General features: G+C 43.2%; 1 long non-coding RNA gene across 1 annotated transcript, besides 4 other annotated features; it reads left to right on the top strand.

The window, feature by feature from the left end:
• Positions 7,637-7,706: a silencer, noted in NCBI's record as "silent region_17281". NCBI's record gives its function as "represses an Ori minimal core promoter by ATAC-STARR-seq in GM12878 lymphoblastoid cells {active_cell/tissue: GM12878}" and the evidence as "EXISTENCE:reporter gene assay evidence [ECO:0000049][PMID:35858748]".
• On the top strand, positions 9,669-17,335 carry LOC124901329 (uncharacterized). The gene is made up of 2 exons (XR_007059609.1): positions 9,669-9,853; positions 15,533-17,335. It is a non-coding gene; the product is annotated as an uncharacterized LOC124901329 (long non-coding RNA).
• Positions 11,789-11,858: an enhancer, noted in NCBI's record as "active region_24673". NCBI's record gives its function as "activates an Ori minimal core promoter by ATAC-STARR-seq in GM12878 lymphoblastoid cells {active_cell/tissue: GM12878}" and the evidence as "EXISTENCE:reporter gene assay evidence [ECO:0000049][PMID:35858748]".
• Positions 13,514-13,808: a silencer, noted in NCBI's record as "tiled region #10484; HepG2 Repressive DNase matched - State 5:Enh". NCBI's record gives its function as "represses a minimal TATA promoter and a strong SV40 promoter by Sharpr-MPRA in HepG2 cells {active_cell/tissue: HepG2}" and the evidence as "EXISTENCE:reporter gene assay evidence [ECO:0000049][PMID:27701403]".
• Positions 16,774-17,068: an enhancer, noted in NCBI's record as "tiled region #10632; HepG2 Activating DNase matched - State 5:Enh". NCBI's record gives its function as "activates a minimal TATA promoter and a strong SV40 promoter by Sharpr-MPRA in HepG2 cells {active_cell/tissue: HepG2}" and the evidence as "EXISTENCE:reporter gene assay evidence [ECO:0000049][PMID:27701403]".
• Positions 17,336-17,423: the final 88 nt, after the last annotated feature.

The raw sequence follows: 17,423 nt of genomic DNA, 5'->3' as shown, positions 1-17,423 counted from the left end.
AGAGTTAAGGCATCTGGATGACTCATAACAAGCATCTGTAGAGAAGAGTACTTTCTGCTCTGGTCAGAGGAAGAATTAACAAGCCATTTGGTATTGCAACCTTCTCAGTCAGAATGCCAGGACTGGCTCTTGCCCTGTGCCTGAACTGTCACCAATAATCCATTTTAACTCCTTTTAAATTCTGAATAGTGGCTTCAATGACTGTGAGAGTTTGGGGTGGGGTTGAAGGGGGCAACTTTTTGAGGCTTGAATATGCACAAATAAATTAGGTGGCTATTTAATATTGGGTTTGTTAATCTGTATTTGTAATACAACAGATAAGATATATGCATTATTTAAAATGTCCTGTGGTTTCAATTTTGTAAGATTGATAAGACGGTGGATGTATTTGCACTTGAATTAAATTAGAAATATTGGTCATCATCTGTCATGTAAACTAAACTTAAGCCTTAGGCCATGATTTCCTGATTTTATAATCAAGAATGCCTTCAGCCCTCATGGGCATGCCAAAGTCACCAAATTGTGCCTTTGCTCCACCAGGATGTTTAGTTTCCACTAGATAGTTCCACTTTAAGACTACAGAACTTAAACTTCCTCAGGAATGTCAGTTTTGCAATGTGGCCTCTAAGTCACGGTGTTCACACCCTGGAAAATTCTATGATTTTCCCAATACTTTATTTATTTATTTATTTATTTGAGACAGAGTCTCACTCACTCTGTCACCCTGGCTGGAGTGCAGTGGCACAATTTCAGCTCACTGCAACCTTCATCTCCTGGGTTCAAGTGATTCTCCTGCCTCAGCCTCCTGACTAGCTGGGATTATAGGCACAGGCATGCACCGCCATGCCCAGCTAATTTTTGTATTTTTAGTAGAGATGGGGTTTCACCATGTTGGCAAGGCTGATTTCTAACTCCTGGTCACAAGCAAGCCGCCCGCCTTGGCCTCCCAAAGTGCTGGGATTACAGGTGTGAACTACTGCACCTGACCCCCAATACTTTTAAAATAAATCTTTTTTGTGCTAAATTAGCTGAAGTTGGCTTCCATTGCTTACTGCAGAGAGCCGTGATTGACATACATCTTCTGTGCATCAGTTTTTCCATGTGACATATTGGTACTATTAATTATATATTATAAAACTGGGCATTAAAATGTTAAATAAATAGTCTAAATATTTTTTGTGCAAATAATTGCCAAGAAAATTATTTCACATTTAAAAATGCAATTATGCCACTTGCTTTTTTCTTCATTATTCCATTTTCTTTCAAAGACATACACAGGTATTAAAATAAGTAAAAAAAAGTTCTTGAGTGTGTTGGAAAGTGTTTTTTTTTTTTTTTTGAGACGGAGTCTCTCTCTGTCGTTCAGGCTGGAGTGCAGTGGCACAATTTCAGCTCACTACAAGGTCCGCCTCCCAGGTTCACGCCATTCTCCTGCCTCAGCCTCCTGAGTAGCTGGGACTACAGGTGCCCACCACCACGCCCAGCTAATTTTTTGTATTTTTAATAGAGATGGGGTTTCACCACGTTGGTCTGGCTGGTCTTGATCTCCTGACCTCGTGGTCCACCAGCCTTGGCCTCCCAAAGTGCCGGGATTACAGGCATTAGCCACCATGCCCGGCCGGAAAGTGGTTGGTTTTTAAAACAGCTGTAAAATATCTTGGTGATAGAAATATTATAATATCTTGAACATTATGAATATTGAAATTTTGCTTAATGAAAAGTGTTATTTTTGAAAACAAAACGTTTTGAGCTTCTAGGAAGAATGACAGGATGAGATATAAGATATTCTTATTTAAGCATGTTACTATAGACCTATAAAGGACTTAGACACATGTCCACATGCAGCTGCAAGAAATGGCACGACCAGCTCATCATGGGGGTTCTACTATATGAACCAAAGGAAGAATGGACATGAAGGTCTTTGCCACATGGGTTTCCTCCACAGCAAAAAATACAAACAACATTATCATTTTTAACAAATGCATAGATATTTATATTTCACATTCTCCTTTAATTCAATATTGTTTTAGTATCAGCTTTATATTTTACATGGAGTAAGCATTTTTCTCACTTGATAAGGTCTGTATTTCAAAGAGAAACTTGAAAAGAACTAGATAAGATGAGGAAATATATGGAGACACCCAGTCACAGAGGCCAATAGTCGACCCAGTGGCAGTCAGAGCCTCCGTAATTAGAGATTTGTGCTTAGTGGGCAGACGATGCTGTATTGGGCAGTGGGAGAAAAATGGCAGCAATATTAGGGCAACAAACACACGACATAGTCCTGATTTTCTCCGTCTGTGTCCCTATTACCATCTATGCAATGAAGATTGAATAATTGTTTCTTTTTTTATTTAGAAAGAAAAAATGTAAACTCATGCTTTAATTATCTCAAATACTTGATGATAAAAAATAAAACAAAATAAACCCATGGTTCAGATTGTTCTGAAGTTTCAAGGAAATGTATGCTTCTGTTTTCACATTTTTCCAACTAAGTATTATTTAGTGAATTAATGTCAGATTTTGTTTTCTTGTCTATGTCACTTATGGTTCAAACCATAGAGTACATAGAATTTAATATGGGATAGTGTTGGATATAAAATAATACAAAAAATAGGATCCCTGCTTTCAAAGAGCCCTTAGACTCTCAACTATAGGGCCCGGCACGGTGGCTCATGCCTGTAATCCCAGCACTTTGGGAGGCTGAGGCAGGCAGATCACTTGAGTCCAGGAGTTCGAGACCATCCTGGCCAACATGGTGAAACTGTCTCTACTAAAAATACAAAAATTAACTGGGCTGGTGGCACACGCCTGTAATCCCAGCTACTCGGGAGGCTGAGGCACGAGAATCGCTTGAACTTGGGAGAGGGAGGTTGCAATAAGCTGAGGTCATGCCACTGCACTCCATCCTTTATGACAGAGTGAGACTGTCTCAAATAAATAAATGAATGAATGAATAAATAAATAATCTCAACTATGAGTAACTGCAAGGATCTGCTAGTTGATCTCCCTGAACACTGTCTCTGTTCTCTGTCCAGTTCACCATCCACTCTGCAGTTAATCTCCCACTGCTTTTATGATGTCTCATCACTATCATCAATGGCTTCCCATTTCTGTTAGGACAGCTTTCAAGGCCCTCCACAATATGGCCTGAACCTACTTGTCTGATGTGGTCTTCTACCACCCGGGAGAGTGAATCAGGCAGCCAGGCCAGTGTTTCAACTGTTCCCAGACCAGCAATCCAGGCTCTTCCTCACGCTGTTGCCTCCAACTCAGCATGCCCAGCCTCCTCCTTTCCATCTATCCAGGTCCCAGCCATCCTTCCTCTCCATTGAAACTCTCCCAACCCCTCCCTTATATATCCATATCTTGCTTCTGATTTCCTTTTCATCCTAGGCATTTTCACATTGCTATTTAACTGCTTTAAGAGTGTGTGCCCTTCCTTTTTTGTTTATTAAACAAATGCTTAATGAACACTTACTGTCTGCCAGACGATGTGATCAGCACTTGATAGACAGCAGTGAACAAAACCAACCTTTTCTCTACCCTCATTCTACCCTTAAGTGAGGCAGGATAAACTGTAAATAAATAAGCAAGCGTAAAGTAATTCCAAATGCTAAGGGCTACAAAGGCAAAACCAAAAACATTTGGAAGCTATGAAAGAATAGCAGGTAGAACCTAAATTAGATGGGTTAGCGGGTGAAGGCAGGGTGTTGTCAGGGAAAGTCTCTAAGGGAGTGGCATTTATTTTTATTTTATTTTTATTTTTTTTGAGACAGAGTCTTGCTCTGTCGCCCAGACTGGAGTGCAGTGGCAAGATCTTGGCTCACTGCAACCTCCATCTCCCGGGTTCAAGCGATTCTCCTGCCTTAGCCTCCCACGTAGCTGGGACTACAGGCACCCGCCACCAGGCCTGGCTAATTTTTTTTTTTTTTTTGTATTTTTAGTAGAGACGGGGGTTTCACCATATTGGCCAGGTTCGTCTCGAACTCTTGACCTCGTGATCCGCCCACCTCGGCCTCCCAAAGTGCTGGGATTACAGGCATGAGCCACTGTGCCCAGTGGGAGTGACATTTAAAATGAAGAATGGATAGGAGTTAGGAAGTTGAGCAAATGGTAGCAGGAAAAGTATTCCAAGGAACAGCATCTGCAAAGGTCCTGGGGTAGGAAGGAAGAAACTCAGTGAATTTGAAGAACTGAAAGAAGCGAGGGGAGGCAAAGGAAAGTGGGGAAAGATAAAGCTGCTTCTTACCAACTAGACTTTGAACTCCTTAGGCCCAGGGCCCCCATTTTATCTTTTGTGAATCACCCCTCACTCCCACCCTAAGTACTGAACACAGTACTTAACACATGGTATAGCAATATGTTAAAGGATTTGACTACCTATTTAGTAGCATGATGCTACTAAATCATCAAGAATGATGTAAGAAATTAGAACAAAGCATAGAGTAAAACAATCAAGCAGAGCAGTTTTAAGACTCCAGTAGGTCCCAGGCATTTCTAATCTCAGAGGCTCTGCTACCCCCACATAGTACAAAATATATTGAACCCACATTTTACATCAAACACCACGTATATCACCACATAATTAGAGTAGAATTGAGTTGCAGTTAATTAATTTTCATCATGTTAAATTTATGGACATTTAAAGATACATATATTAATTTTGATTTTGCAAACTTTTTTTTTTAATGTCATTCTCCCCTCATCCCTGAAAGTCTCAGACATTTTTGTGGACCTAGAAAGAACTGTAGGTCCAGGAATACTCATTCTATTTTGTAGAATGAGATGTTGCCTGATTCCAGATTTGCCAATAAGAGCCAATTAAAAATAGAAGAAATGTAGGTCCTGAGCACTTTGCCTAATGGATACAAGGCCCAGCAATCAAGGGCTAAACTGGAAGGAATAAACAACAAATGCTAGAGCAATTCGGGGAGAGGAGGTATCAGTAAGGGCAGGAAAGCTTACGCGTCATATCTGTTAACCTGTTGATTTGCCTGGCCAAGAACTGCAGCTCCTAGGAAGCAGAGGAAGTAAGGGGACACTGTAGTCTGGGCATAACTTGGACCCCAAAGTTTCTCCAAGCAGAAACTAATGGGGTCAACTTGAAGGACTAGAAGCCTAGGTAAAAGTATCCATGCCTTCTTTCTTTTTTTCACTATGCCCCAGAACTGAGCAGACCTGTATCTTTTCAAAGTTTGGAGTACACAAGAATGGACACTGTCAGATGTTATGAAGGCAAATGTCAAACCATTCAGGGAAAAATCACAGATCTGATTACATGGCCTGAGACACTAAACAGGAGGATGTCTCCAGAGAATAAGAGAACTGTCAAAAACTGAACACTGAGGATACAATGAACAATGGGGAAGGCAGGAAATTGAGAGCTGGAGAGACCCATCAAGCTGAAATGCAAACTCATTAGTCAGCTCAGATTTGAAAAATGCCGCATTGAGAAAAGAGAATGTAGATGCAATGAAGGTGGCTTAGTCTGCTCAGGCTGTCATAACAAAATGCCATAGACTTTTCGATGGCTTAAGGCACAGAAATTTATTTCTTACAGTTCGGTAGGCTGGGAAGTCCAAGATCAAGGTGCTGGCAAGGCAGGTCTCATCCTGAGGCCTCTTCTCTTGGCTTGTAGGAGGCTGCCATTACTGTTTACTCACATGACCTCCTGTTTGTGTGCTGGGGCTATGGTGGAGTGAGCTCTCTGGTGCCTCTTCTTATGAGGGCACTGACTTCAGTGTGACAGTCCCGCTGTCAGACTTCATCTAATCCTAAGTACCTCCCAAAGGCCCCATCTCCATAGACCATCACATTGGGGATTAAAGTTCATTGCAACATATGAATTTTCAGTGGACACTATTTAGTGCATAGCAGAAGGATACACCTAAAAGACGGACACCTAAAAGAGGGACTTTCAGGACAGCTGACAAAATGGATAAAGCCAAGAATGAGCTGTTTGAGAAAAATAAGAATTTTTTTTTTAAAGGCCATGTAATATTGCAGAAAAGAGTAGGAGCATTGGTTACAGACAGACCTGGGCTGAATCCTGTTTATTAACTGTGTAGCCTTCGATAAGTTACTTAATATCTCTGAGCCTCAGTTTCCATAGCTGTAAAAGGAACATTAAAAACGTATCACAGGGTTGTTGTAAGGATTAATGAGATAAAGGGTTTAAAGTACTGGCACAGAGAAAAGGCCTTCTAAAGGTTTTGATGGGGGATGGAAGGTACAGGCATGTTGTTGAGGAGCGAATGGGATGGTGATAGGTGACAGGGAGAAGCTGGTTCATGCTGAAATGTGCTGGCTCATGAGTACCACTCTCGCTGAGCAGGAGGTAGGACTGGGTGACTTCTCTAGTGCTCTCCAACTCTGAAATCCCATTAATCCCCATATCTATGAGGAAGCAGATCTGTTCATCTCACCTGCTTTGTTGTTACTATCCATTCGTGCTCTGCATTTTTACAAATATTATCTTATTCAATCTTCACTACAACCTGAAACCTAATAGTAATAATAATAGCGATTATTATTCCCATCTTACAGATTAGCAAACTGAAGTTCAAAGAATTGGATAACCTAGCCCAAGATCAGACCTTTGGAGAATGAAAGAATCTGGATTTGCACCCGGAACTTACTGGCTTCCACCTCTAAACACCAGCTTCCCTGTTCCAACTTTTCTAAAGTTGAATGTTCTTCATACAAATATCAGCAGGAAGACATTGAGGCACAAAATAAATGGGGTATTGTATGAGAATGCCTAGCTTTCAATGAGCTTATGTCTCCAAGCTTGGACAAATTCCGGCTGGGGTACCAACAGAATTTATATATGAGAAGACTGTTGGCAGCTTTTCAGGGACTGTGGGGCCGGGGAGAGACGCCAGAAGACTGTGGCTGGGTACACACTATTCCATTTTGTGAAAAGGGGAAGAAGGTTGATTCTGCAAACCATAGATGCCAGAGTCCTGGGCAAAGTTCTTGAAGGGCATCCTATAAACATAAAAAAAGGGAAGTCATTGCTAGGCACCAACAAGTTTTCATTGAGAAGAGATTATTCCAAATGAACCTAACTTCCATTTCTCATAAGGTGAAAAATTGGTATGGCTTTATTTAGACAATACATTTTGCTCATTTTCATGAACCAGTTGAAAAATCTATTTTGTAAAAAAATTAATAAAAAATAATAAGACTGTTTCTATGAGAAATATAATTTTTTGGTTATTCATTTTAAAAATTTGATGTAATTACAGATTTACACATGCTTATAAGAAATAGTACAGAGGCCAGACACAGTGGCTTATGCCTGTAATCCCAGCACTTTGGGAGGCCGAGGTGGGAAGATCACAAGGTCAGGAGATCGAGACCAACCTGGCCAACATGATGAAACCCCGTCTCTACTAAATATAGAAAAATTAGCTGAGTGTGGTGGCATGCACCTGTAATCCCAGCTACCCAGGAGGCTGAGGCAGGAGAATCGCTTGAACCTGGGAGGCAGAAATTACAGTGAGTCAAGATCATTGTGCCATTGCACTCTAGCCTGGCAACAGAGCAAGACTTCGTCTCAAAAAAAAAAAAAAAAAAAGAAGTAATACAGCGAGCTCCCCTGTACACTTAGCTCAGTGTCCCTAGTGGTTACATTTTGTAAAACTGTAGTATGATAGTACCATCAGGATATTGGCATTGACACACTCACTGATGTTGTTCCAATTTCCCCAGTTTTACTTGTATTCGTGTGTGTGTGTGTATGTATTAAGTTTTATACAATTGTATCACTTATGTAGTGTTACCTATCCACTATTACAGTCAAGGTACTAAACAGCTCCAACTGAATAATCTTTCTTAATGGGGGAGATAGAACTTTAAACCTTGAAGGACAAAAGAGAGAAATAGTATTTTAGGTCAGAGAAGAGCAAAAAGAAAATCAGAGGCAGGGATGAATGTTGGATATTGGGGAGAGGGTCTCGGCTCTATTAAAGGAAAGGATTGCTACATTATAGACATAGTCATTGGGTCAGTTAGGTAAGATGCATAACCCCATTATAAATGGCCTTGACCATCATGGACCATGCTACTTAGATATAAAAACAGTAGGCCGGACGCGGTGGCTCATGCCTGTAATACCAGCACTTTGGGAGGCTGAAGCGGGTGGATCATGAGGTCAGGACATCAAGACCATCCTCGCTAACACGGTGAAACCCCGTCTCTACTAAAAATACAAAAAATTAGCTGGGCGTGGTGGCATGCGCCTGTAGTCCCAGCTACTTGGGAAGCTGAGGCAGGAGAATCGCTTGAACCCAGGAGGTGTAGGTTACAATGAGCCGAGACCGTGCCACTGCACTCCAGCCTGAGCAACAAGAGCAAAACTCCGTCTCAAAAAAACTAAAAAACAAAAAGCAGTATACCACCTAACTCTTAGAAGGTGTTCAGATACTCATCCCTAATGGTACAAAGAGTCATCAATATTAAGGCAGTTGCTGTTCCTCCTGCATAGAGCACTCTTCTCCAGATACACTTAGTCCAGGTCCGTCTCACTATTCAGATCTCAGCTTAAAGGTCACCTCCAGGCTGGGCACGGTGGCTCACACCTGTAATCCCAACACTTTGGGACGTGGTGGTAGGGGACTGCTTGAGGCCAGAAGTTTGAGACCAGCCTAGGCAACAGAGCAAGACCCCATCTCTACAAAAAAATATAAAATTAGCCATGTGCAATGGCATGCACCTGTAGTCCTAGCTACTTGGGAGGTTCAGGTGGGAGGATTGCTTGAACCCAGGAGTTCAAGGCTGCAGTGAGCTATGATTGTACCACCACACTCCAGCCTGGGTGACAGAGCAAGACCCTGCCTCAAAACAAAAAAGTCACCTCCACAGGGAAGCCTTCCCTGATCACCTATCCTACCTATCCTAGAATGCTGCCTCTGCCTCAGTTCCCTGCTTTATTTCTTTCATAGAACTTATTATAATTTTTGTAAAAAATCATATGTATTTGTTTACTTGTTTATTATGTCTCTCCCCCCACTAGCACGGAGTTAGAGCTGAGGAGGAGCAGAACCCCTCACTCCCAAATGCCTAGAGGGATCTGGCAGGTAGCAAAGTGTGAATCTGGCTTGGTAAGGACTGTGTCTATGTGTCTAATAACTGTCTTTTGCTGATACGTGGGAAATATCGGCCCAGTGTTGACAAAAAGCATATTTTTTTTCAAAAGGCTGGAAATCCAGATTTTTTTTTTTTTTTTGAGACGGAGTCTTGCTCTGTCGCCCAGGATAGAGTGCAGTGGAGCGATCTTGGCTCACTGTAACCTCCGCCTCCCAGGTTCAAGTGATTCTCCTGCCTCAGCCTCCTGAGTAGCTGGGATTACAGGTGCCCGCCACTGCGCCCGGCTGATTTTTGTATTTTTAGTAGAGACGGGATTTCACCATCTTGGCCAGGCTGGTCTCAAACTCCTGAGCTCGTTTTCCACCTGCCTCGGCCTCCCAAAGTGTTGGGATTACAGGCATGAGCCACCGCACCCGGCCAGAAATCCAGATTTTTATAAGCAATCTCCTAAAATTTAATGTTATCAACTAATTTTAAAAATTACAACAAAACAGTTACCCTGGCAGAATTGAGTCCACAAGCCATGAGCTTGCCCTGTGAGTATTCAGTGTTGCAGGTGCCAATAGTCTTTCAGTCCACATCCTTCCTCACAGAGAAGGAAGGGACTCTGGAGGCCACACAGCTGGTTCTAGAAGCAACAGGTCAAGAAGCCTGCTGACAAAGCCAGAACAATCTTGTTGCAGGTCGGATTTAAGCATTTATTTCTCTACCAGTCAAAGTCTTCTAGCAGCCAACTTGCCACACCAAGGAATATCAGGTCTGTGAATTTTGTTTTGTATTCACTCAGGGAAATCTTTACTACAAAGACAGGAAGTGGAAAGCCAGAACATGTGGTTTTAATGGTTTGCTGTTGTTTTACTTTTGTTTTTTAGACTGGATACTTTTTTCTTTCTTTCTCTGGTCTCTTCCTTTCCCCTGACCTATCCCTGCAGATCAACTCCTTTGCTGCAAGGATATGCTTTCAGCTAAGAGTCAGCTTGAAATAAGTTTGCTAAACTCATTCATTTTAGGTGTTAATAGCAGCAAGGTAGCCCAGGTATCTAAGATCCAAAAATGATACCCTGCAGTCATGTGTTACCTCCTCTGGGGGACATTTGCAATTGACTATTCTTTTTACTTTCTTCTTCTTCTTCTTCTTTTTAAAAAGTTCCCAAGAGCTGTAAATGCAGTTTACTATTCTTTAACTCTAAAGTCAACTTTCTGTGTCTGGAAGTGCAGGCCCCTCAACAACAGATGACGCAGAGAGATCCTTCAGGTGTCCCGGGGAGTGAGGGAGGGACCATCCCTGAGGTTATTAAAAGTGTCTGAATATGGAGAGAAAGGAAACAATTGGTGAATCCGGGAAAAGGGCAGATGGGAGTTCCTTGGACCCTTTTGGAAACTTTTCTAAGCTGGAAATCATAGAAAGAAGGGGAGGGGAGGGGCAGGGAGAGAAACGGGGAGGAGGAGGAAGTTACTTAAAAAAGTGAAGGAGGCTTGGAGGAAGCTAGGGGAAGGTAGCTGAAGGAGTGAGAGTGGGGAGGCCGGGAGAGGGAGGGAGGTGAGCGGAGGCCCGGGGCCAGCGCGGTGGCTACTGTGCGACGCTCTGTGGCTGCAGTGCTGTCTGTCCATCGGTCCGTGGGGCGCCAAGCGGCCAGGAATGCAGGATGTCCGTGGGATAGGGGTGAACACCTGGCAGGCCCCCTGGCTGACAACGCCCTCATCGGGTTGGGGGCGGGACGGGGGACGGCCACCTCCTCGTCTCCGAACCTGAAGTTCAGGTTCCGCGAACAGAAACGCTTCTCCCAGGTGAGCTGGGAGCCAGGTGAGCGAGGCATTTGAGGTCAGTCCTCAGTTCATCTGGGCCCGGACACATGAAGTGCAGGCCTTGACATACCGAGGTTTTCCAGTTTAAGAACACACTTTTTTTTTTTTTTTAAGACGGCGTTTCGCTCTTGTTGCCCAGGCTGGAGTACCGTGGCGATCTCGGCTCACCTCAACCTCTGCCTCCCGGGTTCAAGCGATTCTCCTGCCTCAGCCTCCCAAGCAGCTGGGATTACAGGCACGCACCACCACACCTGGCTTTTTTGTATTTTTAGTAGAGACAGGGTTTCTCCATGTTGGTCAGGTTGGTCTCGAACTCCCGACCTCAGGTGATCCGCCCGCCTCGGCCTCCCAAAGTGTTGGGATTACAGGCATGAGCCACCACGCCCTGCCAAGAACACACTTTTTCCTATAGAAATCGCAGGGAGTAAGATAGCCGGGCGAGGTGGGGGGTACGGGTGGAGAACAAACCTGTGGGAGAATGGAGATGAGAGCAATTCGTGAATGCAGCCTGGGGACCGGTTCCCATGAGAGAAGCTCCAAACCTCAGTGGGAAACCTAAAGCTCTCAAACTGTCTTCATGTACTTTATTATCATTTTTTTAAGGTGTTGGGGGTAGGGGATGGCGATTTAAGAGGAGGGCAGGGGCCAAGATCCCTTGTTTTTCTTCCTCTTTTCTCCAAGCAATTAACAGATGGAAAGGTCTCAACCAATGAACAGATAGAAAGCAGCAGCAGGCCTTGCTCCTAGGTAGAAAATGGGGTGGGGAAGAATCAGCCTAAGGCTCCCCTCCACCTCCACCTCTCCTGGTGGGGTCCAGTGAGAGCAGTCTAGCACTGCTTGGAGGGACTTTAAGTGGCTTTATGAAAAGGCCTGCCATCTAAGATGGTAACTTGAGTTAATAACTAAGGAGGAAGCAAAGGAATTCATGTAGCACAGAGTTGTGAGCCCGATGAAGAGGCGGTATTGCTAAAGTCGGATCATGATGTCTTACATCAAAAGAAATCATAAGGCAAAGAAAGGAGAACAGAAACTCTCATTTCCTCTTGATCACTGTCGGTTGGCTAAGTTGTCATTTTCAAGTGGAAGATGCCAAAAAGTCCAGTAATAGAGTAATTTTTCAGACAGGTAGACAGGAAGCATACTATTACAATGAGACTACAGTAAGTCTCAAGGTGGTGGCAGTGACTCCCACCTAGATAGAATTTTAGGAAATATGTTTAATTACTACATGAAAAGATTCATGGAAATCATTAAAGTCCTAAGTGCCAGAATATGCAGTCCTGCCCACGTCAAGAATTTGCCAGCAATAACAAGCACAGACTTTCCAGTCACAAACAGCTACCTAGAAAGAAATGACAAAGTACTGATTCTTTTTCCAAGCTGCTGATCCGATAACGAACATGAGATTTAGTATCTATAATGGCTGTCTCACTTCATCTCCTGTGCCTGTCATAATTCCTAGCACATTAAAGGGGCTCAATAAATATTTGTGGAATGCGTTGCTGAGTTCATAATATTTACCACGTTGTATTTATTTTACTACCTTAGAAACAATCTCTAAGACGACAAGTTATAGCCATCTTAGCAGAGATCCTGTGAGATCTGGTCTTTTGAATTAATTTTAAGATGTTACAGCAACTAAAGGCCTTAGTTAGGATTAGGTGAGTCCAACATGCTTGTTTTATAAGGAGAACACTTGGGACAGAGAAAGGGAGGGTAACTTTCCTAAGGTCACACACCCTTTGGAGCTAGAATATGCATGCATCTTCTGACTCCTAGCCCCACCTAGGATGGACACCAGCTCTTAGAGAAAGAGCAGCTCAAAAAACACATCATGATATTATGGAAGTAGATTTTCATTAAGTAAGAAACAGCAGGAAAGCACTGCAGTATGAAAGAGAAAGCACTGCAGTGGTGTGTCAAGAATGCTTTGCAGTCTCAGTTCCTCCATTAGGCAGCTGATTAGACATTCCAAGTGACTTGGCAATGTGAGAGCGCTGAGATCTAGAAATATCCAATGCTAATGTTAAAGTCTATTCTTCCATGTGGTTTTTCTTTCTGAAAACTTTAAGGAATAATTGATTTTTTTTTCACTCCTGTCAAGCAGGTCCTTCCTCATAATAGATTGAAATATAGAGTGAATTTTTTAACTAAAAGGCAGAAACCCGAGATTGAAAAAGGTCTTGGCTTTTTGTCTTAAAACAAAACAAAAACAAAACAAAAAACTAACCATCTTCATGTGCCTGCTTGTGGGGGACGTTAGATGATCAGGGCAAGTAAAACTGGTGAAGCAGTTTGGTTTGTCAGGGCACTCTTTGAATTTAGTGTGTGGGAGGGACTTCCTGTAGAATTTTGCCAATTTTTTTTTTTTTAATTTTTATTTTTGAGACGGAGTCTCACTCTGTTGCCCAGGCTGGAGTGCAATGATGCAATCTTGGCTCACTGCAACCTCTGCCTCCCGGGTTCAAGGGATTCTCCTGCCTCAGCCCTCCCTAGTAGCTGGGATTATGGGCATGCACCGCCACGTCCGGCTAATTTTTTTTTTATTTTTATTTTTGTATTTTTAGTAGAGACAGGGTTTCTTCATGTTGGTCAGGCTAGTCTCCAACTTCTGACCTCAGGTGATGCGCCCGCCTCGGCCTCCCAAAGTGCTGGGATTACAGGCATGAGCCACTGTGCCCGGCCCTTATTTTGGTTTTTCAGGGCACTCCTTGATTTTAGTGTGTGGGAGAGACTTCTGTAGAATTTTGCCAATGTGTTTGCTTGGTGAAGAGAGTCAGAATAAGGGAGGAGACCACCCCTCATATTGTCTTATGCCCAATTTCTGCCTCCAACAAAAGAAGAAGTAAAAACTAAAAGGCAGAAATGAAATCCACAGGCAGACAGCCCGGCGCCGCGTCCTGGGCCTGGTAGTTAAAGATCAACCCCTGACCTAACTGGTTATGTTATCTATAGATTCCAGACATTGTATGGAAGAGCATTGTAAAAATCCCTGTCCTGTTCTGTCTCGTTCTGATTACTGGTGCATGCAGCCCCCAGTCACATACCCGCTGCTTGCTCAATCCATCAGAACCCTCTCATGTGGACCCCTTTAGAGTTGTGAGCCCTTAAAAGGGACAGGAATTGCTCACTTGGGGAGCTTGGCTCTTGAGACAGGAGTCTTGCCAATGCTCCCAGCCGAATAAATTCCTTCCTTCTTTAATTCCGTGTCTGAGGAGCTCTGTCTGTGGCTCGTCCTGCTACAAGAAGGCCAGGAAAAATGAAAAGTCCTTTAGAAGGAAGGGGTCATTAAGGAGAGGAAGTCTGTGTGAGGAAAAGAATGATATCCACACTAAGAATGAGTCTTATTTTCTCTGAGCTGTTTTACTTTGGCTCTTGTATTGCTGACTGATTCTGTAAGAACATGGAGGGAAGATACTGATGTGTGGTTACACAGATATAATTTCATTCATACCTGCATTCACTTCATAATGGAAGGCCTGATATTCATCAACTAACTCAACCCTGAGCTTCCACGGTTACCTGGGGGAAAATTTCATTGACTTTTATTAGGAAAGTCACACACACTCACACATCACTGTACCCAACTCAACTCAAAGGCCTCCACCACCCTCAAAGCATGCTTTCAGCATCAAGCTCAGGGGGGACTGCAACATCTTGCACAAGCTGTCCTGCAAAGGAGAGCCATTGCTGCTGTGCTTGTGGCTGAGAGTGAAGAGGCTGAGCAGGTGGCTTCCCTGGCCCAGACCATGCAGGTCAAACTGAATCAATATTGGAGAACCAAAGCAGGTCATCTGTTCTCTGTTCATAGAGCCAGATGCTTGATCTCTTAGAGCCCACAGGACCAGAGCTCTCTCCACATTGTCCCATCTTCAGCAGGACCTCTGAGTGGGCAGACATCCCCGACAGTTGGAGGCAAACCTTCCTGATGTCTAAGGAGACATTTTACTTTATCTTTGAAAAGCTGGCCACACATCTTCAAAGGAAAACCATCCACATAAAATTGCCTCTGTCTGTGTCTCAGAAAGTAGCTACTGGGTTGCATTGCTGGCCTCCCTGGTGCCTCTGTGTCTTGCTGCTAAGTTCCTTGGGGTAGACAGATCTATTGCTGAGCATGCCTTCTATGAGGTTGTGGATGCCATCTGTGCTATCGCCTGGAAAACCAGCCTGACTTTGAGGAGGTGCTGAAAGATAGCACAGATAGAGAAGTTCTGGACCAAAGATGGCTTCCTAATGTGTGCTGGGGCTTCTGGAGGTACACATATCGAACTGTCCTGCCCCAAAGGGCAGGAAAGTAACTATTGGAACTGGCATCAATACTTTTTCTGTTAGAAGAAATTTAAAAATTTAATAAAGGAAATGGATAGATAACAAAGTGAACAAAAGGAAAATAAATGTAGGATTTTAATTAAAAGATCCTTAAATGAATTGTGTTTCTTTTTTTTTTTTTTAAGACAAGGTCTTTGTCTGTTGCCCAGGCTAGAGTGCAGTGGTGCGATCATAGCTCACTGTAAACTTGAATTCCTGGGCTCAAGTGATTCTCCTGCCTCAGCCTCCCAAGTAGCTGTAGCTGGGATCACAGGCATGTGCCACTACCCATGGCTAATTAAATGTTTTTTTTTTTTTGTAGAGACGGGGCATTGCGCTATGTTGCCCATGCTGGTCTCAAACTCCGGGCCTCAAGTGTTCCTCCTGTCTCAACCTCCTGAAGTGCTGGAATTTACGGGCATGTGCCACTGCACTTGGCTCTTATGTTTCATTCTGTCTCAGCTTTGAAGCGTGGAATAGATAGGCCTCTGGATCAGGGCTTTTAATGATTATGGCTAAGCCTTAGCTAAAAAAGGTCACGGTGGAGAGGCCTAAGTCTGTGTTTTTATTACCCTTAGTCTCTTCTGTTATTATTTATGTATTCAAAAAGCATTTGAAGGTCTCCTTTATGCCTAGGCATTATATTAAGTCCAGGGTATTCACCAATAATAAAAATGCCCATCATCTTCGGAAAACAGTATGGTGGGTACTCAAAAAATTAAAAATAGAATGATCAGCAATCCACTTCTGGGTATATATCCAAAAGAACTGAAAACAGAATGTCAAGAGATACAGAATGTTCACAGCGGCATTATTCACAATAGCCAAGAGGTGGAAACAACCCAAATGTTCACTGATGGATGACTGGATAAACAAGATGTGGTGTATACATACGATGGAATATTATGTGGCCTGTCTATTATGAAGGAAATCCTGTCACATGCTATAACATGGATGAAACTTGAGGACATTATGCTAAGTGAAACCAATTGCAAAAGGAAAAATACTGCATGATTCCAATAATATGAGGTATCTAAAGTAATCAAATTCGTATGTATGTATAGAAAGTAGAATGGTGATTACCAGGGGCTAGGGGCAGGGGGCAAAGTTGTTGTTTAATGGTGCTATGATCTGAATGTGTGGGTCCTCTCAAAATTCATGTGTTGAAACCTAACTCCCAAGGCGATTATATTAAGAGGTGGGGCTTTTGGGGAGGTGATTAGGTCAGGAGGGCAGTGTTGTGGTCAACTATCTTCAGGGGCCTGTTGATGGCTGGCTTCTCCATGATAGTGAGCCTGTGTCATATCTCTGCTGGGGCTCAGCAGACCCCATATAGATCCCACTGTTGTGCCTGGGATGGTCCCACTATTTCTTGGCCTGGGAGCATGAGGGCTGAGGCCATTGGTGGAAATTCCAGATTGGTCTTGTTGAAGAGAAGAGCATCAGTCACTTTTTAAAGAAAGATATTTTATTCGAACCACTGCAGTATTGAAGAGAGACTTTAGTATAAACTGAGCTCACCTCCAACTAAGACAATGGTAAATGGGACATTTAAAGGGAGATCATAGAGGTAATTAAAAGGGGGTATGGGGAAGTAAAAAAAAAGAGAGGACAAAGAAAGTCTGGGAAAAATGGAAAATTACAGAAGGAGTGAGTGGAAAATTACTGAAAACTGTTTGGCAAAGTGGGTTGGGACACAGTACATTTTGCAGCTTAGCAGCATTGTGTTTTTCTGAGCAAAGACTTCGCACAGGGGCTGGGGCCACCTTTAGGGACTGCTGTGGTCTGAATGTCTCCCCAAAGTCACATGTTGCAACTTAATCACCAATGTGATAGCACTAACAAGTGGGGCCTTCAGGGGGTGATTAAGTCATGATGGTGGAGCTCTCATAAATGTGATCAGTGACCTTATAAAATGTGATTAGTGACCTTATTAGTGGCTGGAGGTAACTAGCCCCCTTTCGCTGTTCTGCTCTTCTGCCACGTGAGGATACAGCATTCTAGGCACCATCTTGGAAGCAAAGACAGAGGCCCTCACCAGACACTGAACCTGCTAATGCCTTGATCTTGGACTTCTCAGCCCCCAGAACTATGTGGAAATAAATTTCTGTTCTTTTATAAATGACCTGGTTTCAGACATTTTGTCATATCAGCACAAACAGACTAAGACAGGGACACAGTCTAGTGTAGGCAGAAGCCAGGCTGAAGTCTGG

The sequence above is a fragment of the Homo sapiens genome, chromosome 6 (assembly GCF_000001405.40).
Source record: "Homo sapiens chromosome 6, GRCh38.p14 Primary Assembly".
NCBI lineage: Eukaryota > Metazoa > Chordata > Mammalia > Primates > Hominidae > Homo > Homo sapiens.
Note: the sequence above shows the minus strand (reverse complement) of the source record. Positions and strands in the feature narration are given on the sequence as shown.